At 42.5% G+C, this 16,580-nt stretch overlaps 1 protein-coding gene across 39 annotated transcripts in view, besides 4 other annotated features; it reads left to right on the top strand.

Moving 5' to 3' along the window:
• The window catches only part of FNBP1 (formin binding protein 1), a 166,693-nt gene that overhangs the window by 110,673 nt on the left and 39,440 nt on the right, over positions 1 to 16,580 (top strand). For all 39 annotated transcript variants that reach the window (NM_001439055.1, NM_001439054.1, NM_001439053.1 and 36 more), the window contains 2 exons: positions 13,512 to 13,640; positions 15,866 to 16,012. In NM_001439055.1, the coding sequence (NP_001425984.1) occupies positions 13,512 to 13,640; positions 15,866 to 16,012 (276 nt within the window). The remainder of the gene's footprint in view (positions 1 to 13,511; positions 13,641 to 15,865; positions 16,013 to 16,580) is intronic.
• Positions 10,020 to 10,169: an enhancer, noted in NCBI's record as "active region_29132". NCBI's record gives its function as "activates an Ori minimal core promoter by ATAC-STARR-seq in GM12878 lymphoblastoid cells {active_cell/tissue: GM12878}" and the evidence as "EXISTENCE:reporter gene assay evidence [ECO:0000049][PMID:35858748]".
• Positions 10,190 to 10,249: an enhancer, noted in NCBI's record as "active region_29131". NCBI's record gives its function as "activates an Ori minimal core promoter by ATAC-STARR-seq in GM12878 lymphoblastoid cells {active_cell/tissue: GM12878}" and the evidence as "EXISTENCE:reporter gene assay evidence [ECO:0000049][PMID:35858748]".
• Positions 10,270 to 10,369: an enhancer, noted in NCBI's record as "active region_29130". NCBI's record gives its function as "activates an Ori minimal core promoter by ATAC-STARR-seq in GM12878 lymphoblastoid cells {active_cell/tissue: GM12878}" and the evidence as "EXISTENCE:reporter gene assay evidence [ECO:0000049][PMID:35858748]".
• Positions 10,510 to 10,579: an enhancer, noted in NCBI's record as "active region_29129". NCBI's record gives its function as "activates an Ori minimal core promoter by ATAC-STARR-seq in GM12878 lymphoblastoid cells {active_cell/tissue: GM12878}" and the evidence as "EXISTENCE:reporter gene assay evidence [ECO:0000049][PMID:35858748]".

Below are 16,580 nucleotides of genomic sequence, written 5' to 3'. Positions count from 1 at the left end.
TTGGGACAGGCCTGAAGTCGGAATCAGGACTTGAACCTGAAGGATATGTAGAAACAGAAAAGAGAAAGCGCCACTGAGGTAGAGACAACTTCATCCAGGGCACTGAGGGAGCATGTTGCCGACGTTGACCTGCCTGCCAGGACAGGGGACTCTGTGGGACCTAGCTGGAGAAGTAAGATGAGAACAGTTTGTGAAAGATATTTAAAGCCAAATGGGCCGGATGCAGTGGCTCATGCCTATAATTCTAGCATTTTGGGAGGCCAAGGCAGGAGGATTGCTTGAGCCCAGGAGTTCAAGACCAGCCTGGGCAACATAGTGAGACCACCCCACCCCCACCCCAACCAATCTCAGAAAAAAAAAAGAAAGAAAAAAGCCAAATGGCAGGATGAATGTGACCCCGATAAAATGCTATTGAACCTACTCCTCAAAAAACCTACACTGGAAAGTGTTTTATATTTTCCAAAGGGCTTTTAGTCCTCTCCATGTTTCCTTTATCCCTTTATAGATAAATAGGGTAAACCTATAAAATGTGAAATTACCATTAGCCTAAAGTGGCCCTGCTGGATAAGGTACAGCCAAGACTGAAGCATGTTTCTGTGCCTCAAGTTCAGTGTTCTTGCCAGTTTACCATTCAGCTTTACTACTGGATTGTATTAAATAAGCTCCTTACTCTTAGCCACCGCTTTTTCCTACAGAACTAGGCAGATAATAGACATGTGAGACTGGCAGGTTGAGGTAAGATGACAAATAGCTATTAGCACAGGGCCTCAGTATCAGGACCCAATAAAGAGAGGTGGGGGTTGTACTGGCCTAGGAGGCCCAAGTCAGACGTAAAGGGGGCGGCCATTATTCACCATCCATTTACACATCTGTAGCTGTGTGGTAATGCAGACCAAGTGTTGTCACATCTTCCATGTCACTCCTTTTGGAGTTAAATTTCCTTCTTCCTGGAAGATGGGTTGTTTTAATTTTTTTCCATGAGAGTTTGTGACTGGTAAATTTTCTTTATTTGTTTGAAATGTCTTTATTTTTGTCCTCCCTCTAATGTGATAGTTTAGCTAGATATAGAATTCTAGGTTGACAATTGTTTTCTCTAAACATTTCATTTGTTTGTTTTGGTTTTGGTTTTTTTTTTTTGGAGACAGAGTCTCACTGTCTCCCAGGCTGGAGTGCAGTGGTGCGATCTTAGCTCACTACAACCTCCGCCTCCCAGGTTCAAGCGATTCTCCTGCCTCAGCCTCCCAAGTAGCTGGGATTATAGGTGCCTGCCACCACACCTGGCTAATTTTTGTATTTTTAGTAGAGATGGGGTTTTGCCATGTCAGCCAGGGGGGTCTTGAACTCCTGACCTCATGTGATCCACCTGCCTCAGCCTCCCAAAGTGTTGGGATTACAGGCGTGAGCCACTGCACCCAGCCTAAACTTTTAAAAAATATCATTCAGGCCAGGTGTGGTGGCTTATGCCTGTAATTCCAACACTTTGGGAGGCCAAGGTGGAAGGATCACTTGAGCCCAGGAGTTCGAGACCAGGCTGGGCAACGTAGGAAGACCTTGTCTCTACAAAAAATGAAAAGTCACCTGGGCAGGCTGGTGTGTGCCTGTCGTCCCATCTACTCAGGAGGCTGAGGCAGGATCATTGCTTGAGCCTGGGAAGTTGAGGCTGCAGCGGGCTGTGATCATACCACTGCACTCCATCCTGGTTAACAGAGCAAGACTCTGTCTCAGTTAAAAACAAAATGTAATTTCATTGTCTATCATTGTCAGTTGTTCTTGGGAATTTGACATTCTATTTAATAGCATTTATTTATTTATTTATTTAAGATGGCGTCTCGCTCTGTTGCCCAGGCTGGAGTGCAATGACGCAGTCTTGGCTCACTGCAGCCTCCACCTCCCATGTTCAAGTGATTCTCCTGCCTCAGCCTCCCAAGTAGCCTGGATTACAGGCGTGGGCCACCATGCACGGCTAATTTTTGTATTTTTAGTAGAAGCAGGGTTTCACCATGTTTGCCAGACTGGTCTTGAACTCCTGACCTCAGGTGATCTGCCCGCCTCAGCCTCCCAAAGTGCGGGGATTACAGGCGTGAGCCACCACACCCGGCCTTGACGTTCTATTTAATAGCATTTCTTTGTAGATATTTTGCTTTCTCCTGTAGTTGTGAAGACCTTGTATTTCCCTTTGGTATCCATGGCATCAATATGATGTTTCAAAGCACAGACTTTTTATTTTTAATTTATTCTGTTTGGGGTTCCTAGAGGATTTGTTCCTTTCATAAATATATGAAAACTCAGTGTGGTGGCTCACGCCTGTAATCTCAGCACTTTGGGAGGCCGAGGTGGGCAGATCACGAGGTCAAGAGATTGAGACCATCCTGGCCAACATGGTGAAACCCCGTCTCTACTAAAAATACAAAAATTAGCTGGGTGTGGTGGTGTGCGCCTGTAGTCCCAGCTACTCAGGAGGCTGAGGCAGGAGAATCGCTTGAACCCGGGAGGCAGAGGTTGCAGTGAGCCGAGATTGTGCCACTGCAGTCTAGCCTGGGTGACAGAGTGAGACTCCATCTAAAAATATGTATATATATGTATATATATATATATGAAAACTCTCCAGCATTAACTCTTCCTATATTATGTTGTTATTAATATTGTTGGTTTTGGGATTCATATTAGATGTGTGTGAAATTTCTCATTCTGTTCCCCACGCCTCATAACTTCTTTTTCATAGATTTCATTTCCTATATATTACATATGATGTAACTTTGTCAGCTACTTCATGAAGTCTCTTCAAATTATTCTATTTAACTCATCTATTGAATTTTAAAATTTCAATGACTGTATTTTTTATTTCTAGAAGTTCCATTTTATTCTTTTGAAGATATACCTGATCTATATTTAGAGCATCTTATTATTTTCTTATGATTCCTTTTGCATCTTTTACTAACTTAATCCTTCAAAATGTTGTTTTGTTGTCATTGTTGTTGTCGTTGTTTTGTTGTTGTTTTTGAGAGAGGGTCTTATTCTGTCACCTAAGCCCAGGCTGAAGTACAGTGGGACAATCATAGCTCACTATAGCCTCGAACTCCCGGGCTCAAGTGATCCTCCCACCTCAACCTCTGGAATAGCTAGGACTACAGCTGTACACCACCATGCCCTGCTTATTTTTAATTTTTTTTTAGAAATGGAGTCTCACTATGTTACCTAGGCTGGTCTCGAACTCCTGGCCTCAAGTGATCCTCCCACGTCAGCCTCCTCTAGTGCTGGGATTACAGGTGTGAGCCGCTGTGCCTGGCCTGTTGTTCTTATATTTTCTTTCACATTGTTCTTTTAGCTCAGGTTCTCATTTTTCTTACTATCGCATCAGCTCTCATGGTGGTTTATTTCCTTGTGCATTTATATTATTACTACCTTTTTTGTATGAGCGTAACTTTGACAGAGATTGTTTTTTCTCCGGGAATCTTATAAAAACAGGATTGTAGAAGTATCCCCCCAGTGAGGTTTTATAGTGTTTCTGCCAGACAACCTGGAACTAATTTTTATGTTAATTTCTTGGCTTGGGGAATCTTGCACCATCTGTACTAGCACAGGCTGAAGCTTTTGTATTTTAGAAGACACTCTTCCCCCACTCCACAGCTTGAGACCTACATAAGCTTCCTGGTCTTCTGTGGTCACAAGAAGTTTCTCTAATTATTTCCCATCTAAAAGAAGACAAAACTAACATTGAGGTTAGTGCAGGAAGGGCTTATAGTCTTACATATTTACTTCATTGACAGTATATTACTGAATAACATGTGATAACATATGCAAGATTTTTTTATTTTTCGGGACGGAGGCTTGCTCTTGTTGCCCAGGCTGGAGTTCAGTGGTGCAGTCTCGGCTCACTGCAGCCTCTGCCTCGTGAGTTCAAGCGATTCTCCTGCCTCAGCCTCCCAAGTATCTGGGATTACAGGCACATGCCACCATGCCCGGCTGATTTTTGTATTTTTAGTAGAGACGGGGTTTCATCATATTGGTCAGGCTGGTCTTGAACTCCTGACCTCAGGTGATCCACCCGCCTCAGCCTCCCAAAGTGCTGGGATTATAGGCGTGAGCCACTGCCCCCAGCTACTTGGGAGACTGAGACAGGAGAATCGCTTGAATCTGGGAGGTAGAGGTTGCAGTGAGCCGAGATCATGCCACTGCACTCCAGCTTGGGTGACAAGAGGGATACTCTGTCTCAAAAGTAATAATAATCAATTTCAAACCTACCATAATGAAAAACTCAAGTCTCTTGCCAATGACCATGCGTGAGAAACCAGGGGGGAAAGGGGGGCCAAGTCTTGGAAACCATCATTTACATCTTAGCAGGATCTCCAAGCTCGTGCTGAATTTCTACCAGCCTCCCTTGGAGGCTTGCCAACATCATGATGAGAAATATCAGCATTGGCCTCTTCTCTTTTAGCAGAAATTGTCACTCACCTTGAGTAAATAGATATTTCAAATAAGGCAACCAGAGCATAGGGAAACAGAAGACCTTTTCTTAAAACTGTTTAGCAAGTGAATGGGCCATGTGGGATTGAGATGCTGGTCTCACTGGCTATCTTTCTGCATTCTCTCCTTCTATTTCAGTGGCCCTCCACCTACAATACTGGAGCTAGAAAGTTGTAAGACTGTTTTCAAAAAAAAAAAAAAGAGTCAGGAAATTGCTGGAATAGTTCAAGCATATTTCTTTGGTTAACTTATTTTGAAGTTTTTCTCTGTTTTGTATTCTAGCTGCCCTTATAATTTATCAAAGACAGACTCATTGTTTTGGCAAGCTCCTGGCCTGGAAGTCTCCAACAAAAACTCACAGCACTCTATCTGAAAAGGAATTTTTAAATGCATTCTTAGTCTTGAAATTGAAAATATATTCTAGATACAACAGTTTGCTGGGAAATTTAAACAATGCCGTTTATCATCCAACAACTTTGCTCTGGACAAAGAGCTTTTTCATCTCTTCCTTAGTGTCCCTTCTACTCCATTAGCTTTTCAGAGCTTTTTTTAAAAAATTAATTAATTTATTTATTTTTTTGAGACAGAGTCTCACTCTGTTGCCCAGGCTGGAGTGCAGTGGCTCAATCTCGGCTCAGTGCAACCTCTGCCTCCCAGGTTCAAGTGATTCTCCTGCCTCAGCCTCCTAGGAGCAGGGACTACAGGCACGCACCACCACACTCGACTAATTTTTGTATTTTTTAGTAGAGATGGGGTTTCACCATATTGGCCAGGCTGGTCTCAATCTCCTGGCCTCAACTGACATGCCCACCTCAGCCTCACAAAATGCTGGGATTACAGGCATGAGCCACCGCGGCCAGCCTTTTTTAAAATTTGGTTCACTTCTAGGTTATATAAAGCATATTTCTTTGGTTAACTTATTTTGAAGTTTTTCTCTGTTTTGTGTTTTAGCTGCCCTTATAAATTTGTCAAAGGCAAACTCTGATAAACTTTAAAAATTCTTTTTTTTTTTTGAGACGGAGTCTCACTGTCACCAGGCTGAAGTGCAGTGGCATGATATCTTGGCTCACTGTAACCTCTAACTCCTGGGTTCAAGCGATTCTCGTGCCTCAGCCTCCCGAGTAGCTGGGATTACAGGCACGTGCCACCACACCCAGCTAATTTTTGTATTTTTAGTAGAGACGGGGTTTCACTGTGTTGGCCAGGCTGGTCTTGAACTCCTGGCCTCATGATCCGCCCGCCTCAGCCTCCCAAAGTGCTGGAATTACAGGCGTGAACCACTGCGCCCGGCCAACTTTAAAAATTCTTAAAAGTTATATATACATTTACTTCATCTTATTAAATATGGCTTTACATTGTTAAAACAGGATATACATAGCTCATCAAAAGTGTGACATAATATTTAACCAATGATTTGTTTGTTTCAAATTATTTTAAATTATTGGCTATTATAAACAGCACTGTTGGATATCTTTTGTTATTATATCATTAGGATAAATTTTCAGAAGCAGAATTTTTGGGTCAAAGACTAGAGTAAAATTCGTTTGATTCCTTTTATTTTTTTCCCCCCCTTGAGACAGAGTCTCACTCTGTCCCCCAGGCTGGAGTGCAGTGGCGTGACCTTGGCTCACTGCAGCCTCTGTCTCCCGGGTTCAAGCAATTCTCCTGCCTCAGCCTCCCAAGCAGCTGGGACTACAGGCATGTGCCACCATGCCTAGCTAATTTTTGTATTTTTACTAGAGACAGGGTTTCATCATGTTGGCCAGGCTGGTCTCGAACTCTTGACCTCAGGTGATCCACCTGCCTCAGCCTCCCAAAGTGTTGAGATTACAGGCGTGAGCCACCGCACCTGGCCATTAGTTTTATTCCTAACCATTGACAAATCCTAGAGAAATACGAATAGGATTTTCAGGGATTTCCAACAGGTTGCTATTTTTTCTGTTCTCAAAAATACCTAGAAATAGAAAATAATATCCAGTGGCCTCTACCTCATTTGTGTGCTGTAAAAATACCAGTGCTTATTCTCATTTACCTGGCCACGTCTGAAAGTCATGATCCTCTAGTGGTTATCAGGAGCTGGAATGTGCAGAAACTTTTATTTCTTAAACCATACAATTCTGTAAGTTTGAATTACCTACAGCAAAATTTTTTTTTTTTTTAAGCAGGAGAAAAAAGAACAAAAGGTGGCTAGATAACACAGGTTGTGAAAGTGGCAAGTTTAATTTTGTCCACAAAATGAGGTCCATGGCTCAGGTAGTTTGGGGAGGAGGGAATCGGGATCGGTGCTGTGCTGGATTCTTGCTGTGTCCCCAGCCTCTGGGTGGCCGCCAGGCCCATCTGCCAGTCAGGAGGAGCTGCTGCAGGTTGCTGCTCACTGAATAATGATTACAGGCATCCTGTCTGTGGGCAAAAGAGTGCATTCTTAGAGGAAAGGGAATAAAATCTAGATTGAGCCCCCATTTCCATCCATCCTAACATATAATTGGTCTCTTCTTGTGATAACGACGTTAAATACTAAAGATGCAGCTGTTCCAAAAAACATTGACTGTTGTTTGGGCTACCAGCGATACTGTAAAATATTCCACATGGCTTTCCCCAAACTTTTGGTGACAAAAGGTGGGCATTTATAATTTGTTATATCCTTTCAACAAAGGAAAAGCAGCTTTCCAAAAGCTCTGGACACTGCTGCTTTAAGTATCAGGTTGCTGCAAAAGTAATTGTGGTTTTTGCCCTTCCATTCAAATGACAAAAACTGCGATTACTTTTGCACCAACCTATATAGTTTATCATTTAAGGAACAGCAATGTATAAAACTGAGAGATCTGGGGCCATGTTAAAAACTTAGTAAGTCTCTTTATTTATTCATTCGATCAATGTATAAATAGAACCAGTCTATATTTGCTCATCTAGTTAAAAGGTCAAAAGCCATAGGCAGCCTTGAAAAATGATGCAAGAGGGCTGGGCGCGGTGGCTCATGCCTATAATCCCAGCACTTTGGGAGACCGAGACAGGCGGATCACGAGGTCAGGAGATCGAGACCATCCTGGCTAACAAGGTGAAACCCCATCTCTACTAAAAATACAAAAAATTAGCTGGGCATGGTGGTAGGCACCTGTAGTCCCAGCTACTCAGGAGGTTGAGGCAGGAGAATCACTTGAACCTGGGAGGCGGAGGTTGCAGTGAACCGAGATTGCACCACTGCACTCCAGCCTGGGCAACAGAGTGAGACTCCATCTCAATAGAAAAAGAAAAGAAAAGAAAAGAAAAATGATGATGCAAGAGTGGTAAGATGCAAGGTTATAACTCGGTTATACCACATGCCTCATGTGAAATGAGCAAGTTTCTTAGTACACTTGTATTCTCTGCTTATGACAATTGAGACACTGCCAAGAGTGTTATTCTCCTTAATATTTTGAAATATTAAGGAAAAAGTAATATTGAATTAAACAGGCCTGGCATATGGTGCCTCATCATGCCTGTAATCCCAGCATTTGGGGAGGCTCAGGTGGCAGGGTCGCCTGAGCCCAGGAGTTTGAGGCTGCAGTGAGCTATGATGGTGCCACTGCACTCCAGTCTGGGTAACAGAGGGAGACCCTGTCTTAAAAAAAAAAAAAAAAAAAATGAGCTAAACAGGAAATAGCCACACATTTAGGCCATGCTAATAATCTAAATTTAGCTAACTGAATGGATGACGGTATTTTTGTCTTTAAACCCATTAGGATTTCAAAATATTGGGCTACAGTTCAGTTTCTAAAATATTGTTTTCTTTATTTAGAAACTGCAACTCTGACCTTTTAGGCAGTATGGCTTAGTTCCATAATGATATTGAGAATGGACTATGTTAAGAATTACCAAGAAGTGGGCTGGGCGTGGTGGCTCACATCTGTAATCCCAACACTTTGGGAGGCTAACGCAGGCCGAGGCAGGCAGATCACTTGAGGTCAGGAGTTCGAGACCAGCCTGGCCAACATGGTGAAACGCTGTCTCTACTAAAAATACAAAAATTAGCCGGGCGTGGTGGCGGGTGCCTGTAATCCCATATACTCAGGAGGCTGAGGCAGGAAAATTGCTTGAATCTGGGAGGCAGAGGTTGCAGTGAGCCAAGATTGTGCCACTGCACTCCAGCCTGGGCGACAGAGTGAGACTCTGTCTCAAAAAAAAAAAATTACCAAGAAGTGAAATCATGTATAAGCCATACATCCTTAGGTCTGTTTGGATTTATTTGAGGGAGATTCCCAAGGGTTTGTCAAAAAATTCTCAAGTTTAAATTCTGTCTTCCTGTTGGACAACAAAAGCAGCGTAGATCTGATTCTAAGACGTCTGTGACCCAGCCTAGGCAGCGGGGGTTATTCTGGACTTTTTAGAACATTATCTTGAAATTCTGTGACACTGACTCGTTGCAAGTAAAACAAGCCAACTCTCTGTACATCTTTCTGCCCTGTAGTAATATTGCTGTAAGATGCAGTGTCTTTATTCTCAGAATGGGAAATTTAATTTAATTGAAAGAATAGCTTATGGTCTGGTTTAGAATGGAAACACTATCTCTTTGAGGTAATAGTTGCTATTTTTAGACTGACTTTTAAAAAGAGATGAGAAGTCATGATGCTTATTAGCTCCACTTAGTCTTAGACATTAGGAGATAGTCTCCAAAATACCATTAACTGTTATCCCAAATAAGTTCTCCAAAATACAAGATATTTTAAAGGTATTTTTGTCATAATGAGTAATTGATTCAACACTAGTTTTAGCGACTCTTAAATTCCATTGTCAAATAAACAATTTGCTAAACAGAAATAGATTTTCCATAGTGAAATTTGGTTAGAACAATGGTGCATTCCTAGGCCAGAGTTTCAGAAGTGGATATTAATTCAAAGCAGCTGGATGCAGGGACTGAGAAAAAGACAGTCCTGTCTTTTTGCTGCGGCTTTGGAGAATCTGATGTATCACAGTATTTTGCTGTTTTTGAAGGTTTCCCTATCCTTGTAGTCAGTGAGAGTGAGTGAGACTGTAGAAATAGATCGTCCTTTGCAATTGTATGTCCAAGCATGGAAGAAAAACTCCTGGAGAGACAGTGTTCCTTTAACATAAAAGGCAGACCGTCTAAAATATACTTTGATTTATTATCTTCTACACAGCTTACTTTCTAGGCTGGACTGTAGACATGTTGGTCCTTATTCAGCGTCTTCCACAGTTCACGTCTAGGGCCCTTGTTATGTTTTCAGGATTACTGCATAGAAACAGGGCAAAGGGCATTATGAATCTATTAGGAGGTAATATGCTTACAGAAGGAATTATGCAGCTAAAGCTAAAACATGATTAGGGATTCTGTGGAGCTACAGGAAGAGGATCACAGCCACTTCCAACCAAATGGTGCTGGGTGGGGTACCTCTGGCACCAGCTTTCATGGGTAAAATATTCTACTTGGGTAAAATATTCTAAAATATTGGCGTGAGTGGATTTATTGTCAGAAAGCTTTTATCTGCTCTCATGGGTTGTGTGTGTGTGTATGTGTGTGCGTGTAAGTACATGCATACATATTATATATAATGATGGCATTCTGATGTGATGCCTGTTTGAGATCTTAAGTTATTTTAAAAACTCACTTAGATAGAATCTTCAAAATAAACGGGGAAACTACCTCCTGAGCTCTTGCTGTTCTTTACAGAAGAGATGAAGAAATCCCCCACTGGATTTTTGTGAGACTTTCTGAGGAAGCCTTGTGAATAAAATAGAGACTGTTTTAGAAATTTGAGGTCTAATGGGAATTTTTTTTTAAACATTCATAGCGAAATGATACATGATGAAACTCAGCAGCTGAAGAGTTAATAGGGCATTTGTGCTGGACGGGCTCGGGGAACAGATGGAATGCATGTAGGTGGGAAAGCTATTATTTAAACAGAGGAGGGCTACTGTGTGTTGGAAGGGGGTGGATTTTTGAGGGTAGCTGGGTACTTAACATTTTGGGGCTAGACTAATATATTTACTAGTGGACACAGGAAGAAGCAGACGCCAAGGCATATGGTCAGGAAGGGAGTTAACAGGCCACCAACAAAGAGGAAGAATGCGGCAGCTGAAATCAACTGAGGGTAGATGAAAAGAGGATAAAATGGCACCGACAGATCCAAAGGCCTTAAGAAACTCAAAAAACCTCAGTAATAAGGAAATGTGTTTGGAAATACTGATATTGTTACCTTCATTTGGGAAGTGTTCACGTGTGAATAGGGAAGAAAATAAGGGAAGCAACTGTGAATTACCTTAGGCTTTCACCAGATGAGTATGAGTAAAATGTGTGAAGTGAAATTCAGGTTAACCCTTCAAGTCACATAGGCAGGAAACCAATAAAGAAGATTGACATGAAAAAAAAAGCCAATACTAAATGTTCCCATCAAGAAGAAAGTGGAACAAATACTTCAGCTTTCCTCTCATGTGTTTCTTTTCTTTTCTTTCTTCCTTCCTTTTTCTTTCTCTCTTTCACTTTCTCTTTCTTTCTCTTTCATTCGTTTGTTCTTTTTTTTTCTTTTCTTTTTTTTGAGAGAGATAGTCTGGCTCAGTCGCCCAGGCTGGAGTGCAGTGGTGCGATCTCGGCTCGCTGCAACCTCCGGCTCCTGGGTTCAAGCGATTCTCCTGTCTCGGCCTCCCAAGTAGCTGGGACTAAAGGCGCCCACCACCACGCCCATCTAATTTTTGTATTTTTAGTAGAGACGGGGTTTCACCATGTTGGCCAGGATGGTCTCAATCTCTTGACCTCGTCATCCACCCGCCTCAGCCTCCCAAAGTGCTGGGATTACAGGCGTGAGGCACCGCACCTGGCCTCTTTCGTTCTTTCTTCCCTTTCTTTCTCTCTTTTCTTCTTTTCTGTCTTTTTCTTGTGTTTCTGATTTTCTTTCTTTCATGATTAGGTCTTAATTTTCTTGTTTTTGTTTGTTTGGTGTTTTGTTTTGTTTTTTGAAACAGTCTTGCTCTGTTACCCAGGCTGGAGTGCAGTGGCGCAGTCACAGCTTACTGTATACTTGACCTCCTGAGCTCAAGCAATCCTCCCACCTCAGTCTCCCAAGTAGCTGGGACCACAGGCACACATCACCACACCCAACTAATTTATTTATTTATTTATTTATTATTTTATTATTATTATTTTTTGAGACGGAGTCTTGCTCTGTCGCCCAGGCTGGAGTATAGTGGCGCGATCTCGGCTCATTGCAAGCTCCGCCTCCCGGGTTCACGCCATTCTCGTGCCTCAGCCTCCCGAGTAGCTGGGACTACAGGCACCCACCACCACACCCGGCTAATTTTTTGTATTTTTTTTAGTAGAGACGGGGTTTCACCATGTTAGCCAGGATGGTCTTGATCTCCTGATCTTGTGATCTGCCCACCTCAGCCTCCCAAAGTGTTAGGATTACAGGCGTGAGCCACCGCGCCCAGCCAATTTATTTGTTATTATTATTTTTTGACACAGGGTCTCGTTCTGTTGCGCAGGCTGGAATGCAGTGGTAGTGATCACAGCTCACTGCAGCCTCAGCCTCCCAGGCTCAAGCAATCCTCCTGCCTCAGCCTCCTGAGTAACTGGAACTATAGGCACATACCACCATGCCCAGCTAATTTTTGTAGAGAGAGGGGTCTCACCATGTTGCCCAGGCTGGTCTCAGTTTCCTGGGCTCAAGCAATCTGCCCACCCGAGCCTTCCATAGAGCTGGGATTGCAGGCGTGATCTACCACACCCAGCCAGGTCTTAGTTTTCTGAAACATTGGTTCAGTAAAACAAAACAAAAACAAGCAAACAAACAAATAGTTGCCCTGGTTATGTTGGAAGACAGCCTATTTCCTGTTGTGTTTCTGGCTTACTGCAGTGAATTTGCCAGGTCACTTAAAGACCAAAAACCCTATCTTCATCTGGCAGGAGGTAGTTTTTTGCCTTGTGTGGACCTCAAATTGTGTTAGAGATTCACAAGATTATATTTATCAAAATAACACCACAATGCTATGTGAATCTAAGGTGGTATTAACGGCACAACCTCTTGTACTTCTGGATGACTTTAGAATTTATAGACATTCCTGTTTGAACTTTAAAATCCATTCTGCAACTAGTCAACAATTGTTGCCCCTTTTTTAGGTATGTGATCAATCAGAATATGAATTAGAGAAAAACAAATGTGTAAATTATTGATTTTTTAGGAGAAAAGCAATGCAGTAAAACATAAAATAGCACTCCTCAAAAAACATAAAAAGCATAAAGAAGTTGCCATACTTATTCCCTCTTTAGCATATATACTAAATATAAACATGCTAGAGAGCTTTAGAAAAGTCTCCTTAGGTCAGTGGTTCATATGCCTTTTTAGTGCATGAACCCCATTGAGAACTGGGTTTAAAAATTCATGGATTTCCCAGCCAGGCACCGTGGTTCATGCCCATAATCCCAGCACTTTGGGAGGCTGAGGCGGGTGGATTGCTTGAGTCAAGGAGTTCAAGAATAGCCTGGGCAATGTGGTGAGACCTCCTATCTACAAAAAAAATACAAAAATTAGCCAAGCATGGTGGTGCACGCCTGTAGTCCCAGCTACTTGAGAGGCTGAGGTAAGAGGATTGCTTGAACCCAGGAGGTTGAGGCTGCAGTGAGCCAGGATCGTGCCACTGCACTCCAGCCTGGGTGACAGAGCGAGACCTGGTCTCAAAAAAAGAAAAAAAAAAAATGAATTTCTCATCCCCTCCTCAAAAAAAAAAAAATGTGTATATGAGATGAGCAGAGGTTCCCACAAGGGTCATCCAAATAATGTAAATTGGCCCAAGTGCAGACAGTATAGAATGGTGTGTCAAACTAGAAGGTACACGCCACGTTAAGGCAGTAGGGAATGGTGGAGGTTTATACAAACTAGGATGCACATTGCTTACCTAAAGTCAATTCAATTCAGAACATTAAAAAGCACCCGCGGAATACATTTGAGGTAAATCTGGCCCCTAGGCATCCCAGTGTGCAGTTCTAGGCTTTTATTGATTGCACCCAGGCTTTTATCTATGGTGTATAAACGTAGGAGTATTCTTGTTTTTGCCCTAAGGCCCGACAACAAGCTCAAATACGTCACCAAATGGCAGAGGACAGCAAAGCAGATTACTCATCCATTCTCCAGAAATTCAACCATGAGCAGCATGAATATTACCATACTCACATCCCCAACATCTTCCAGGTAAGTCCTGAACATCTCTCAGATTTCATGTTTTATGCTTTGCTTTCCTTAGAAACATGACACTTCTGAATCGTGATTGCTGGGTTTGTATTCTGAGTCTGAGTCTTTATATAATTCCAAATTTCCACTAATTTTTTTTTTTTTTTTTTTTTTTTTTGAGACAGAGTCTTGCTTTGTCACCCAGGCTGGAGTGCAATGGCACAGTCTCGGCTCATTGCAACCCCTGCCTCCTAGGTTCAAGTGACTCTCCTGCCTCAGCCTCCCGAGTAGCTGGGACTACAGGCACGTACCACTGGGCCCGGCTAATTTTTGTATTTTTAGTAGAGACGGGGTTTTGCCATGTTGGCCAGGCTGGTCTCAAAGTCATGACCTCAGGTGATCTGCCTACCTCGGCCTCCCAAAGTGGTGGGATTACAGGCCTGAGCCACCATGCCTGGCCCTTTTTTTTGTTTTGTTTTGTTTTTGTTTTTTGAGACAGTCTCACTCTGTTGCCCAGGCTGGAGTGCAGTGCACAATCACGACCCACTGCAGCTTTGAACTCCTGGGCTCAAAGGATCAAGGGATCCTCCAAGTTCAGCCTCCTAAGTAGATGGAACTACAGGCATGCACCACCATGCCCTGCTAATTTTTAAATTTTTTATAGAGATAGGGTCTTGCTGTGTTGCCCAGGATGGTCTCAAATTCCTGGACTCAAACAGTTCTCCAGCCTTGGCCTCCCAAAGTGCTAGGATTATAGGCATGATAAATCATTTTTTAAAGCATCTAGATCAAGCATTGACTAGCAATATGAATGAAATATAATAATCTCAAGATTAATCAATAACTTTGCAAATTTCTATAGTTTGCACCTGCAGCCAATTATTTGTCAGTCTTTTTTCTTTTTTTCTTTTTTTCTTTTTTTTTTTTGAGATGGAGTCTTGCTCTGTCACCCAGGCTGGAATGCAGTGGCATGATCTCAGCTCACTGCAACCTTCACCTCCTGGGTTCCGGCGAATCTCCTGCCTCAGCCTCCTGAGTAGCTGGGATTACAGGCACCTGCCACCATACCTGGCTACCTTTTTTGTATTTTTAGTAGAGACGGGGTTTCACCATGTTGGCCAGGCTGGTCGTGAACTCCTGACCTCAGGTGATCCGCCCGCCTTGGCCTCCCAAAGTGCTGGGATTACAGGCGTGAGCCACAGCGCCTATTTGTCAGTCTTAAACTATGATTCTGTGATTAATGCTGTCTTTGCTAAAGGGATGATTGTGGTTATAAAAATGCCAACTTAACTATAGAAGTCAAAGCAGCATTCATAGAGTTATAGGATTTAAACAAATGACAGTTCTTTCTTTTGGATTGTTTTCTTTTGCTCATGTTAGGTTGTCAAAAATGGTATGAGAAAAGATAGACATATGTTCTTCCATTTTACAGATTTTTTGCAACTTTGAGTCCAATTGTAGAAAAAATAAATAATATATTTGCTTCTTGGTGTCTACACACACAGCAAACAAGTCCTTGTAAATTATAGTTGGAAGATACACTAGCATGTATTGGGCTGAGGCAGTTAATTAAATACTGTGCTTTTGGTAAAAGGTAAAGTAGTAGATTAAAGATGGAGAAAACGTTTGAGGTAGATTACAAATAGTGTTAGTAATAAAACTATTGGCCAGGTGTGGTGGCTCAAGCCTGTAATCCCAGCACTTTGGAGGCCTAGGCAGGTGGATCACCTGAGGTAAGGAGTTGGAGACCAGCCTGGCCAACATGGCGAAACCCCATCTGTACTAAAAATACAAAAAATTAGCCAAGTGTGGTGGCGGGGGGAGGGGGGGTGGGGCCTGTAATCCCAGCTACTTGGGAGGCTGACGCAGGAGAATCACTTGAACCTGGAGGCAGAGGTTGCAGTGAGCTGAGATCACACCACTGCACTCCAGCCTGGGTGACAAGAGCAAAACTCCGTCTCAAAAAAACAAAAAGAAAAACAAAAAAGAACTATTGAGTTTGGCATTCTTACTAAAATTAGAATGGAATTGTGCAAAGCATATATTTGGGCAGCCTAACATGTCTAGCAATTTATAAAATAAATGTACAGCTGGGTAATATGGAGGCTCCGTGTACTTAGAGCCGCTCTAACTCTAACCCATTTTTTCCTCAAAGAGAACTTGTTAGAGGTAACAATGCTGCCGAAAAACAACTTTGTTTAATAATAATGGACCAAACTTACTTTATACAAAATCTAATGTTGCAGAAAATACAAGAGATGGAGGAAAGGAGGATTGTGAGAATGGGAGAGTCCATGAAGACATATGCAGAGGTTGATCGGCAGGTGATCCCAATCATTGGGAAGTGCCTGGATGGAATAGTAAAAGCAGCCGAATCAATTGATCAGAAAAATGTAAGTATTGCCATTTGGACTTCATTGATAACTATTTGCAGATCCATTATTTCTCCCCATCCCCTTTCCATTTGACCTCATGTCATCATCTCATGGTGGATGGTTGCTTTTGGTGGTCACACATGCTCTGTGTCTTGGATTTAGCTGTATAATTCCTTTTTTGGTAAACACATTTAAGTGGTAAATTGTCCGAGACATGACAGAATTGAATTGAAGTATTTCCTGGAAAAAAGGTAAAGGCTTTGTTTCCTCTAAGGCAGGGTTTCTTTCTCTTTTTCTTTTTCTTTTTCTTTTTTTTTTTTTCTTTTTGAGATGGAATCTCGCTCTGTTGCCCAGGCTGCAGTGCAGTGGCGTGATCTTGGGTCACTGCAACCTCCACCTCCCGGGTTCAAGCGATTCTCCTGCCTCAGCCTCCTGAGTAGCTGGGACTACAGGCGCCCGCACCACGCCCAGCTAATTTCTGTATTTTTAGCAGAGACGGGGTTTCACCATATTGGCCAGGCTGGTCTCGAACTCCTGACCTCAGGTAATCCGCCCGCCTCAGCCTCCCAAAGTGTTAGGATTACAG

The sequence above is a fragment of the Homo sapiens genome, chromosome 9, assembly GCF_000001405.40.
Source record: "Homo sapiens chromosome 9, GRCh38.p14 Primary Assembly".
Lineage (NCBI taxonomy): Eukaryota > Metazoa > Chordata > Mammalia > Primates > Hominidae > Homo > Homo sapiens.
This window is presented reverse-complemented; position numbering and strand designations above follow the sequence as displayed.